The sequence below is a fragment of the Homo sapiens genome, chromosome 10 (genome assembly GCF_000001405.40).
Source record: "Homo sapiens chromosome 10, GRCh38.p14 Primary Assembly".
In the NCBI taxonomy this organism is placed as follows: domain Eukaryota; kingdom Metazoa; phylum Chordata; class Mammalia; order Primates; family Hominidae; genus Homo; species Homo sapiens.
Window position 1 is genome coordinate 5,424,238 of NC_000010.11, and position 13,815 is coordinate 5,438,052.

Sequence of the window (13,815 nt, forward strand, 5' to 3'; positions counted from 1 at the left end):
ATAACCTGAGACATCATAATTGTTTTTTCTTAAGCCAGTGCCCACTGATGGCTCCTGCTAACCATGTAGCATACAGTAGCACCTAATACACTAAGAGTATTAATTCCTAGAGCAGTATTTTTAAGTGTGATCTGTGGACTCATGACAGAGAGGTCCTGTCTTTCCATAATATTTTACCATTTGTTTATGATAGTAATCCTATGTATTTCTTGATACAAATTATAATTTATTTCAGATGACTTTTTTTGTTTAAATACTTTGTTCCAGGGTTTTCTCAAGAAAAAAATACCATTTTCTTTGTTGATGCTTGACTTTTCTGCAGTAGCAAGAAAAGATGGAATAATCAGCTTCTTAGATTGTTTTGCGCCACTAAAGAGGCCGTCAAAAATAGTTTGAGCTCCATGAGTAGTCTTCCTGTGTTTTGATCTTCTCCAAATAATTATTTAGGAAATGTTTGTTTTAAATATCTTAAGATCTTTGCATCTAATTTCTGTTAGTGGCATCATATTTTCCCCAGGTCAAGAACCTTGGTAATAACTGAACAGGTTTAGGGAGGAAAAGGGGAAAGTCTTTCCTGGCAATTTTGACATCGAACCGTCTCTCAAATCAGCTTCTCCTCTCTAATCTTGTTACTGCTGCCAGAGCCCCAGTCATCTTTTGTAAGCAATATTAGAGCTGCCTCCCAACTGAGCAGTCTTGCCTTCTTACAATCTATTGTTCACGTTACTTAAGATTCAATGGCTGCCACACATACTCAAGATCAAGGCCATTCTCTCTGAGTGCAGTAAGTGAGGCCTTTCATGATGCTTTAGCCCGTCCTTATTTCTTTACTCAAATGTGAGGAACTACTTGCAGTTTCCAGAATGTAACTCATTTCACTCCACCTTAATGCTTTGTTAATTGCTATTTTTCTTTCAGATTCAGTAATACTTTGTATTACTTAAGTATTAATTCATCTGTGAAGCTTTCCAGACCTCCTCTTTTACCTTATAGCCAGTTTCCTTTGTGTTCCTTGTCGGAAAAAAAACAAAAACAACAACAACAACAAAATTTCTCCTTCATATTTAGCTTAGAAAACTCCAGAAGCCCTTGATTTGGTTTAAGCTTGTACATTTTTGCAGGAAAGACACTCATCAGTGGTGTTTCTATAACTTGATGAACAACGACTATGAAGCTTAAGGATCACATGTATAAACAGACAATGACTTCACAGTCCAAGAAGCCAAATAACTACCATAACAATTGACCTAAAATGTCCAGGACTTCATTAATAACTGCCAGCTTCCTAATTTTTGTCACACTTCCAATTCATAACCAACCTGTGAAAGCCAGATATACCCCTAACCAATCACAGTAGGATGCCTCCACTTCTAGTTAGCCTGCCTACAGCTCCACAGGCCAACAGCCTCCATCAGGCCATACCTGAGCCTTCTCTTTTTTCCATTATGAAACTTCACACTCGTCTACCTGTCTTTTAGTCTCTGTCAAGATGCAAATGACGATAGATGACTCCCTTGTTGTAGCAAGCACTGAATAAATACCCTTTGCTTTTCTCTTTTGGTTGATCTTCATTTATTTCCACAAGGAAAAAAATAATGTGTTCATTCTACATTTGTTTACATCTGAAGTAATTAATAATAAATACACTTTATAAACTGCCTTTATCTCTTGTGCTAGCTATGTTTTTGTAATTTCTACATATTTTATAAACACAGAGGTTTATACTTTATAAACATATGGCGGCTTATATTTTAGAAAGGTGAAGACAGGTTTTGTCATAAGACTTTCTTGCTTTATGTGTTTACATTGAATGGAAAAGAAACACAGAAAAATCTTTTAATAGTAAAGAACAAAATTCTAATCACATTTTAATCTTGAGATCTTTGTCTCAAATGTAGTTATTCATAGCTTTGTATTTTGTTTGTTAAATTGCAGTTTTAAAAAATTAGGGATTTACATGAAATGCAGATAATGTGAAGTTAGGTTTTGTTAAGAGTATCCTTTTATTTTTGTTTTTTAAAATACTATACGTGAATATGTTGCTAAATTTTTTGCACTTAGGAAGTTTGTTTGCTGTTTTTTATTTAACCTATTAATATATTTCATGTTTTTGAACTATATGTATGTTCCTAAGGTAAACTCTGTTGAGTTTGGCAAATTACTTTTTAAAATAATCTGTTCACTAATTTTATATAGGCCTTTTCACTCTAAAGATGCTGAGAATGACCAAAACCTATACCCTGTTTGTTTGTTTTTTATATATATATAGACCATCTCTCATATTACTAAGATTGAATGACAAATCAGGCCACTTTAAACGGTTTTGAAAGTATGAAAAGTATAGCTTTTTATCTGTTTGATGCTCTATTATGCTAAAGTCAATCTCTTTATTTATTGTTTGAATTTTCCATTAATAGATGTTCCCTTCGGAGAGGCAGCTCCTTCACATTCTTAACACCTGGCCCCAACTGGGACTTCACTTTGGTGAGTAGATACCTGGGTTTTTATTTCGAGACATTAGATAGAATTAATTCCCTGGTTTCTTTCAGTCTGTTACACAGATCAGTGGTCCTTACTTCTGAGGGTCTTGAGGAACAGAATTCCTGTAACCATCTTTGGCAGCCTAATTTAGTCCTTTTCTGCTAACAAGCTGTAATAACTTTTTGTTTCAAGTAAATATAAAACATATTTTGCAAAGTACTCACATCTATTAATCTTTAACTCTATGCCATCCTTTCTCTTATTCCTTTCAATGTTAAATCTGATAATATATTATGAAACATGAAATTATTTTTATACATCCTCTACTGCCTTTTTTTCTTGGTTGAAAATATAAAAATGCTTGATTGCACATTGTGTATATATATTTAATATATATAATGAATGATTTTCTGCTATTAATCATCTCAGCATAGAGGGACTCTATTATTTTTATAGCAGGACTTTACAGAGGCATTTAATTTTGTGTGAAGTGATAACAGAAAATTGATTCTTTTTGTACTTAAAACTTATTAGCTCATAATACATATATAAAGTACGTACAAATAGATCATGATTCTTATGCTTATCTAGGAAAAATAGCAAAAGTGATTCAAAATATAATTTCATATAAATGCATAAGTATGATCATATATGTGCTTTTTTCCCCTTAGTACAGTCTAATATTGCTAGGCAGTTTCCTCCCCACTTCTTCTCCTTCTCCATATTAGTCCATTCCCAGGCTCTGCTCTAACCATGTCAACAGTACCATATGTATCCTTCTATATTTTGCTCATATCATTAATATACACAAAGAGGCTCACAGATAAATACACAAGCAGGATTTATGGTTAGTTGGCCTTTCAAACCTGGGATCATATTATTCATAATTTTCTGTATCTTCTGGGTATGACCTTGGGATCAGTAAAATATTTCTTGAGTTCCAACACCTCCATTCTGATATATATTGTTCTTTCATGTCTTAGATCATTTTCCTAATGTCTTTTAGCTCAATTCAAAACAGTGTGTTATAATTTTGCTCTGCTGCTTTGAGCATTTCCTCCTGGTGTGCAGTCATTTCCTAGGGGATAGATTCTGTTCCTTGTTTTCTTTTTTCATAGAATGATATTGTGTAGAATTTGACTTTGAGAATTTTCTGTTCATTTTAGTGTGAATTTAGTTTTCAACTTGTACACAAAATCTTGGTTCAGATAGCTTTTCTGACTTCACAACCCTCCTTCGTGTTGTTTTTTATGGTAGCTTGCTTTCTGAGACTGCCTGGCTCTGTTACTTTCTCCACTTCTATCTGGACTTTGCCGTTCCTTTTTTTTTTTTTTTTTTTTTTTTTTTTTCTTCTCTATTGGCCCTATCTTGTTCAATTTTGATTCAATTCCCAGCAGTTTCTCCTCACTGTGGGGCCAGGAAGTTGACGGGAACCCTAACTAGTCACTTTTTAAGAGTTACCAAGAAGTAAGCTGTGTAGGTAACCTGAAAAGTTATTTTGAGATGTGGGAAAATGAAGTGTTACCCGTGGGTGCTTATTCACTATTAATTAAGTACCAGAAATGGTAGATATGTACACAGTTTTGCCACTACTGGTGCCAGAAGGGCTGAATGAAAGTGATAAATGGTAAGTGGAAAGTACTCCAGGGACATGGCTGTTCACCTTCTAGTTAATCAATCCTGCCTCAGGCAACAAATCTTAATTACTTTGGGCCATGAGAAAAGGATTTTTTTTTTCTAGTGAAGACCTTGCCCCCAAGATAAATAATGTGTTCCTTTTCAAAAAAAAAAAACTAGCTGATTTTATATTTAAAAAATTTTTACTTTTTCTCTAACAAGTACAGACAGCCCTTGATTTACATAAGAGTTCTGTTCTGAAAAACTTAAGTAGTATTTTAATAGGGTAGCCACTTCACAGCAGTGATGACTTAGTCAGGGGAGACTGTTCAGATAGTATCTATTCCAAAGACAATTCATGAGCGTCTCTCCTCAAGATAATTTTCTTTGTTTTTTTTTTTTTTTGAGAGGAAATCTTGCTCTGTCACCCAGGCTGGAGTGCAGTGGCGCAATCTCGGCTCACTGCAGCCTCTGCCTCCCAGGTTCAAACGATTCTCCTGCCTCAGCCTCTTGAGTAGCTGGGACTACAGGTGTGTGTCACCACGCGCAGCTAATTTTTTTTTTTTTTTTGGATTTTTAGTAGAGACAGGGTTTCGCCACGTTGGCCAGGCTGGTCTCGAACTCCTGACCTCAGACGATCCGCCCTCCTCAGCCTCCTAAAGTGCTGAAATTACAGACGTGAGCCACCGCGCCTGGCCTCAAAGTAATTTTCTTGTGACTATAGCCAAAGGCTTAACTTTTTTAAATTGATTTTTCTAGTTTTATAGAGTCTTTGTTTTGTGAGGTAATATGCATTCCTTTTATATGAGAATGAAATCTCTATTTTTCTTTTAGAAAAGAAAACGCAGAGAGAAAGATGATGATGTTGTAAGCCTTAGCAGCCTTGATCTGAAGGTAAGCCCTGCTGCCCTGTTAAAGAAAAGCATTTAAAAATATGCAGATAGCATTTTATTTCTGTGCTGCAAGAATAACAAATGCTGGTTTGGGTTTTTTTGTTTTTTTGTTTTTTGCATTTTGTAAGTGCAAAAGTGAATAATATTAGTTCATAGACACCGTCTTTTTTGCTATTCTACTTCTTTGTTAAGAATGAGGGAGAAACCACTCTCAAAATGTTAGGCTATAACTACTGATCACAAACACAAATGCTAAGGAGACAGGCTGTAATCTGTGCGAAGGAACGAGGTAAGAGAGGGCCGGTGGTGAAAAGGAGAGCCCCAGGTTCTAGCCCACTGTCACATGTAGGACTGTCAAAACCTGGATTTTTATGTGAAATCTCCTGAATTTTAAATGTTGAGTCAGTTTTTCTTAAAAAATACATGCAAGCAAAATAACTTATCTGTAAGTCATATGTGGCCCATGGGCTTCAAGGCTTCAAGTATGTGACATAGAATAAACTAACACTCAGCACACACTTTAAAATACTTGAAGTTTTCTTATATGAAATTGTACTTAAGTCCAAAAACCTAGTATCTTTGGAATTACTAACATCATTTTTGCCAGTTAGTAAATTTTACTGTAGCATCTTGGTTTTGGAGAGTCTTTTTTTAAGGTTATAAAAGAGTTGTACATTTTTAAATGTGATTTTTAAAAATGTTTCATATTATGTTTAACAGCAGCAGCTGCTGTTTCTTTTTAAAGACAAGATATTTTCTAAAAATTAAATTTTTATAATCTGCTCATCAACATTTTAACAAATCCAGCAAGTCAATTTTTTTCTTATTTTTAGTACACAGTGTCTTCATAGAAGAATTATGTGTTTTAAGTTGTAAGCATTTTGCAAAACAGTTTTAGTTGCATTTAAAATATCTTGTATTCAAAAAAAGAAAAAAGTATGAAATGACAACCTTGATTATTTTTAGGTATGTTTCAAATCAAATCAAATACAGAAATAGTATTTGTAGTTTGCCACAGTAAAATACGTGGTCTTCAACTAAGCTTTAGCAGTTATCAATATATGAATTATTTTGAAGTAAATCCTAGATGTCATGTCCTTTCATCTGTAAATATTCCATTTACTATCTTTATTGTCTTAGATAAAAACTTTTTTTTTTTTTTTTGAGGCGGAGTCTCGCTCTGTCTCCCAGGCTGGAGTGCAGTGGTGCGATCTCGGCCCCCTGCAACCTCCGCCTCCTGGGTTCAAGAGATTCTCTTGCCTCAGCCTCCTGAGTAGCTGAGATTACAGGTGTGTGCCACCATGCCCGGCTAATTTTTGTATTTTTAGTAGAGACAGGGTTTTGCCATGTTGTCCAGGCTGGTCTTGAATTCCAGACTCGGCCCCACAAAGTGCTGGGATTACAGGTGTGAGTCACCATGCCGGACCTTAGATAAGAACTTTTTAAAAACATAATAAAATACACTTTCTACAAAACAGTACAAATAATTCCTTAATATCAGATTCAGTTCAGAATTCATGCATTTTCTTGATCTTGTTTGTGTGTTTTTGTGGGGTTTTTTGTTTGTTTAGGTTTTTTTTGGTTTGGGGTTCATTTTGCCTGTTTGTAGTCCAAATAAGACACATACATTATGATTAACTATATCTCTTTTTTTTTTTTTTGAGACAGAGTCTCGCTCTTTTGCCCAGGCTGGAGTGCAGTGGCGCGATCTCTGCTCACTGCAAGCTCCGCCTCCCGGGTTCACACCATTCTCCTGCCTCAGCCTCCCAAGTAGCTGGGATTACAGGTGCCCGCCACCACGCCCGGCTAATTTTTTGTATTTTCAGTAGAGACGGGGTTTCACCGTGTTAGCCAGGATGGTCTCGATCTCCTGACCTCGTGATCCGCCTGCCTCGGCCTCCCAAAGTGCTGGGATTACAGGCGTGAGCCACCGCGCCCGGCCTTAACTATATCTCTTAAGTCTCTTTTAGTTCATTGGTTTCCCCTCTAACTATTTTCTTGGAATTTTTTGTTGTTGAAGAAACATGTCATGCAGGATTTTCCTATAGATCTTTTTATAGCCTGAATATTTATGATTGCATCCCCATGGTATCATTGACTATGTTCCTCTATTCCCTGTATTTCTGACAAGTTGGTAATTAGATCTAGAGAGCTGATCCAGTGTGGGTTTTTTGGGCCATGTACTTACCTCAAAAAGTATGTAATGCCTTTCTGTGATGCTCTCAAAATGGATGCTCATTGCCTACATGCATTTTTTTCTTGGTGGTTGCAAAGTGATGACATGTCTTTATCAGACCTCTGTTTATTAACTGGAATACATCTGTAAAGAGAAAATTCACCTTGTCGGCCATTTGATTACTCTGAAGTTCTGATTTATAATAAAAGCAGAACAAGTGCTTGATTCTTTTCCTTTGTCAGTTTTCAACAATAACGAATTCTATTCATTAGCATTCTCTGAAAGTAAGTAATGATTTTTTTTTCTCCTTAGTATTATGAACTCATGCATATAAATACTTGTTTTACATGGATTCAGTTTTTTTTAAATTTTGTTTTGTAGAAAAGACAGGGTCTCACTATGTTGGCCAGGAAGGCCTCAAATTCCTAGTCTCAAGCAGTGCTCCTACCTCGGCCTCCCAAAGTGCTGGGATTACAGGCATGAGCCACCACGCCTGGCCTCATTTCAGTTATTCTTACTGATGCCTCACATATCTGTCTTTGGCTGTTGGATGCTGTTTCAGGATGGTTCCTGTGTCCTTTTGACATGACCTTTATCTCACATCTAGTGGCTTAATAGCCTCCTTGTCTTCTAGGATGACAAATTATTGCAGGTCCTATTTTTTTGCTCTATGCCTGGAATCAGTCATTTCTAAAAGGAGTCTGGTTGCTTTGGGAAATGGTAGAGGCTAAAATCTGGGCATTGGGAATACTCCCTTCTACTGGATTGGTCATTGTTGATAGGACTTTTTAATGAATAGAGCTAGGAGATAAATATAATTTTAGAAAAACAAAACAAAATATGAATTTATATTGAAATTTCAGATTCAAAGATAAAGGGATTTAACTTAATCTTATCAGTCTTACTATGTAGAGTTCCTTCAACTTCACCAAAAGTCCAGAGACATTGATTTAATTATGCATTTGATTTATACTACAGTTCAAAGACAACAGCTTGCATTATTATTGATTACTGAAAACGTTTTATGTTTTCTTGCATTTTTCAGCTTTGTTTAAACCTATAGGTTATAACATAGTAGGGATGTACAGTCAAATTACTGTGTTTTTAAATTATTACACTCACTTCTGTGTGTAATTACACCAACAGCTCATTTGGTTTTTAAAAAAAATTTTATTGTTTAAGAATTACTGCTTTTTAAATTTATCTTATAATTGTGTGACAGAATTATGTAGAATTTTGAAGTCATTCTACAGAGGATTCTTGTTCATATTCCTGACTCTTCTACCCTACTCACTCTTTCAGATGAAATCTTTTTTTTTTTTAATTTTATGGTTTATCCTTCCACTTTTAAAATATATAAGCAACTATATATATATAGTATTCCACTTTCTTGGATGAACTGTATGTAGCCTACTGTCTTTCTTAATGTTTTGTTTGTATGTTTGCTCTTTGCTTTGGTATATCTTTTGATATTTAGGTAGGTTTGTGTTTTTGTTCTAATGGTTCTTTATACTGATACCTTATGTAATACCTTTTGGGCTACTATAAATGGGTTAATTCCTATGAGCATTTAGTTAACTAGCACTTCTCCCTACCCTCTTTCTCTTCTGATTTGAAATACTATTGCTTGACTTGTAGTTAATGCATTTAAGGCAGTAAGTGAGCTTATTTTACTTTTCATGTACATTCACCACTTTCCTCCCATTTTTAAAAATAGTTTGTCAGAGCTTTTAGCCATTACGAGCTATACTGTAGACCCTGATAACCATCAGGTAGTCTTAGTTCTACTGGTAAATATATATTTAATTCTCAGCACCAGTCCTCATGTTGAGTCCTTTCTAGTTTTTTTGTTTGTTTGTTTTGGTTTCTGAAGCTCATTCTCTAGTACAGGGGTCAGCAACCATGACCCACAAGCCATATGTGACTGATCTCTCTATGTTTTGTTTATAGCTGCCTTCGTAAACACTGCAGTATCTGGGCTGAGCAGTTGTGACAGGAACCATAGGACCTGTAAAGCCAAAAGTATTGACTCTCTGGCCCTTCACAGAAAAAGTTTGCTGACCCCTGCCCTGGAGTTGAGTAGATTCTCAGGCAGTGTTCATGGTATTCCCCAAGTACTTGCATGTTGCATGTTCTTTTCAGTTTGTTTGCAACCTTTATACTTGAAGGTTCATTTGGACGGATATGAAACCCATGGCTCACCTTTTCTTTCATTGAGTATATTTAATATTTTACTCCATTGTGTTCTGGCATAAACTATGTCTTTTCAAAGTCATAATAAATGTGTAGTTTCAGGTCATCTTTTGTTTTAGGAACTTTTTTTTTCTTGAATTATACCTTTTGGTATTTATTGTATTTTGTTTCCCCTCTGTACCCTTTATATTATCTTGGATCTTCATCTTTTAAAATCTTTTCTATTTATTACTTTTTCTCAAAACTTTTTATCTTTTTATTTTTAAAGCCATCCTCCTTTTTTCCCTAATGCATTAAGCATTGTACTTTTCATTCTGAAATAATTTTTTTTATTTTTAATTCTTAGTTCTATCACCTCTCATTTCAATTCCTTCTCCAGTCACCTAATTTCTGAGTCTTATGTTTCTTCAGAGCTTCTGTAATTTTCTTAATTTACTTCACGCTGTAGAGACATGATTCTACTCCAGTCTGTGTTTCCTTATAATAGTTTTAAGTGGAATTCTTAATACTTCTGTCGCTCATTTTTCAGTGCAGTAAGTTTCCTGTATGGTGAGAGGAATAGGCCAGGATAGCCTTTTCAGCTTCATAACTCTAGAGCTCCCTCTTGTGTTGTGTTCACAAGGTGATTTTTCAAAGTATGGTTTCATCCTTTCTGAGATCTTTTCTGCTCCCTTTCTCTTTTATCTGGAACTTTTCTTGTCTTTGCTTCTGTTGCCCTGTTCTTCTCAGTCTGGAGTCTACTCCTAGGAGTTTTTCTAAAAGAAGTATCAGTTTCAAGAGTTTACATGGCCCAGACTGCTCTAACACCTATTTGCATGGCATTGTTCTTGTTCTCAGCCTGAGAACAAGATCCTTCAGAGCCTTTCCCAGATGAGGCTGCTATTCTGAGACTAGTATGCCATTGAGGCTTCAGGGGAGGTTGAAGGGATTCTCCTGTTCCCAGGGCCATCAGAAAAACCCCGTGCCTTCCCTCTGCCTCATCATACACAAATGCTGATACTTTGTGGGCCTCATAACTGTCTGGTTTGTCACTCTGCTCATATTTTGAGGTTTAAGGGGAATCTTTCTCTTTGTTGTGGATTTTATTTGTGGGTTTTCTTTTTTTTTTTTTTTGGTTATGCTAGTTGCTCTGTTTTTTTTTTTCTTTAAAAGTAAAGACCTGTCAAAGAATTAACTTATTAATGAGTTAACCAACATTATAGAAAAGCTGATCAAAGGACTAGGAAACACTGACATACACTAGTCACTGAAGGAAAGAATGGTGGACTGAGATTACCAAATTATATATAAAATATTAATATCCTCATCTGCATCTCTACCTACAAAATTTATTTGCATTGCTGTGAGTTTTCTACAGAGTTAACTTTTACTTTTTCAGAGCTATAGAAAAGCCTGCTCAGTACAAATAGTGAATCAAACAAAAGGCTTGAAGTTCTGATGATCCCAGTAGCATTAAGCTGTATTTATACTTTGAAAATAATGATTGGCTAAAACAGAGATACTCAACCCTGGCTGCAGATCAGAGTCACCTGAGGGTGGCTTGTGTAGCAGGAGAAGTGTGCTACGGGACCTATTCCAGACCAATTCCATATATGAATGGAGGAATAGGGGAGGAAATGAGGATAAGTGACATTGGGACCTAGGAACATTTGATTTTTCTTTTTATTTTTTAAAGATACCAGGTGATTCTCATGTATAGCTAGAGTTAAAAACTAGAATGTGACATTCTTAAAGTTATTCCTCCCTCCCCCTGATTTTTGCTTGGACTTACATCTAAATACAACAGTTTTTATGTAATAAGCTAAACATAATCTGTTAGTACAATTATTTGATGCCTGTTGCTAGGAGCCATTCTACTTTATATGCCTCCGTGCCTGAGATAGATAGATAGATAGATAGATAGATAGATAGATAGATAGATAGATAGATAGATAGACAGACAGACAGATAGATAGATAGATAGATAAAATAGATACTCCGTAAATATTGAATTAATGAATGAAATATTAATAATACAGGTCAAATGAATGACATAAGACCTTGGACTTACATAAGCATATAACATGATCATTGTATTACGTATTTGGACTTTGGATATCTTATATGAAGAATTTAATTCTGATGTCAATTGAATTTTCATGTTATGGATCATTAGCTATTTTGTCTTGAAGCTGTGATTGTTTATCAAATTTTTCTCTAGGTAAAATTTCAGCCTTGTCTTACTAGGCTGACTTACTTCTGTATTATATATACAATTATTCATTTTTAAAAGAACACAGTATTAGTTTTCCAAATGTGTTTCTCAGCTGTGTATGTTAGCAACTACAATCTTTCCTTTTTATTTTGATAGGAAGAGTCAAAAGTGACTGTTGACTTTGTTAATGTGAAATAACACTGGCATGAGTATACTGAGCATATTTTTGTGACTTAATTTCTTTAACTCTGATAGTTAGTGATTATAACACAAACTAGAACACTTCTAAAGAAATGTTTTAAAGTATGTTCTTTTTCTGAAACTTCAAATTTAGGATCTCAGTTTTCCGTTTTCCTAGAAGTTAAAAGGAGGTGTGTGTGTGTGTGTGTGTGTGTTGTGTGTGTGTGTGTGTGTGTGTGTGTGTGTGTGTGTGCATATATATATATATATATATATATTTTTTTTTTTTTTTTTTTTTTTTTTTAATGTGGAGTTTTGCTCTTGTTGCCCAGGCTGGAGTGCAATGGCTCAATCTCGGTTCACTGCTCACTGCAGCCTCTGCCTCCCAGGTTCAAGTGATTTTCCTGCCTCAGCCTCCCAAGTAGCCGGGTTAATTTTGTGTTTTTAGTAGACAGGGTTTCACTCTGGTGGTCAGAGTGGTATCGAACTCCTGACCTCACGTGATCCACCTGCCTCGGCCTCCCAAAGTGCTGAGATAACAGGTGCGAGCCACTGCGCCCAGCCTGGGGGTTATATTTTGAGTATTGGTATACTCTGCCATTTTTAGATTAAACATAATAATAAGTGTTTTAGTCCTAATAAATAACATATAAATGATAAATAATTTTAAAAGCATTGTGATTGTTTATAATTATAATAATGTCTTGGCAGTTTCTGATTTAACATTCCAAATACCACTTTTGAGAAACAACCTCTTAGAACCATGACAGGTAATTTGATCATGTTGCAAAGCACAGATTTGAATAGTGTGAAGCTAGCTGGCATGTGAAACCTAGTGACTTACCTAGCTTACTGTTGCCCTCCACCTGCACTTTGATTTAGCTATGATTTCTACTGGTTGCCTTATAAGATAATAAAACATTGTTTTGCTGTGACAGAGGTCCAAAAAAGAAAGCCAACTGCTGGTTCAGGTGTTGATATAAGAAAATGGTGTTCTTGGCCAAAAATAAAAGTTAAATACAAAACAATTATTGCTGATTAGTGCTCTGAGAAGCCATTGAGCAATACAGAGCTACTTATCTTTAAGCTTAATCATTCCTAGACTGCAATGTATTTAAATACTTATGTCTCCTTTTTAATACATGAATACATTGTTCTGGCAAAAAATTGAAACCGTTTTTTTAAAGACCTCTTTTACTGCCTTCAGCCTCTGAAGTATCCAGTTATTATTTGATGTTTGTCCAGATTGTTTTCTTTTTATTTATCTATTTTCATACAGTATGTGTAATGACTACAGATATATGATTATCCTGTATATATGCTATAGCTTGCTTTTTTTAATTTATGTTTTATTGGTACATATAAAGCAGGCTCCCTAATTCTTCTTGGTTGCTGTATTGTATTCCATAGTGTGTTAAAGTACCATAATCTATTTAACCAGTCTTTTAAGAATGGCTATTTTTGTATATTTCTAATTTTTTTCATATTAAAAACAGTGCTGTACTTTACCTTCTGGTGCACAAGGAGGGACCATGTTTGTGTCTCTATTATAGATGTTTAGAAGTGGGTTGCAAGTTTTAGTTTTGTTAATATTGTCTATTTGCCTTCCAAAATGTTTGCCAAATTGATACTTTTCTATCGGTTTATGATAATATTCATAACCGAGTACCCTTTTCAACTCTGTATTTTCCCTAGTATTTTTTTTTTTAACCAACTATTGGGATAGATAACCTGACAGGAAATCAATAAGGAAGTAGAAGACTTAAACAGCACTCAGACCAAATGGACCTAACAGACATACAGAGCCCTTCACCCAACAACAGTAGATTATACATTTTTCTCAAGTGCATGTAGAACATTCCAGGATAGACGGTATGTCAGGCTGCAAAACAAGTCTTAATACATTTATAAAGACTGAAATCATACAGACTAATTTTTTTAACACAGAGAGTGAAACTAAAAAGCAGTAACAAAAGGAAATCTAAAAAATTTATAAGTATGTGGAAATTAAACAACACATTATTAAACAATCAATGAGTCAAAACAAATCACAAAGGAAATTAGAAAATACCTTCAAATGG

At 35.0% G+C, this 13,815-nt stretch overlaps 1 protein-coding gene across 1 annotated transcript in view; it reads left to right on the forward strand.

The window, feature by feature from the left end:
- Positions 1–13,815, forward strand: part of NET1 (neuroepithelial cell transforming 1) — a 46,500-nt gene that overhangs the window by 11,681 nt on the left and 21,004 nt on the right. The window contains exons 2-3 of the mRNA NM_001047160.3: positions 2,418–2,484; positions 4,933–4,992. Of these exons, the coding sequence (NP_001040625.1) occupies positions 2,418–2,484; positions 4,933–4,992 (127 nt within the window). The remainder of the gene's footprint in view (positions 1–2,417; positions 2,485–4,932; positions 4,993–13,815) is intronic.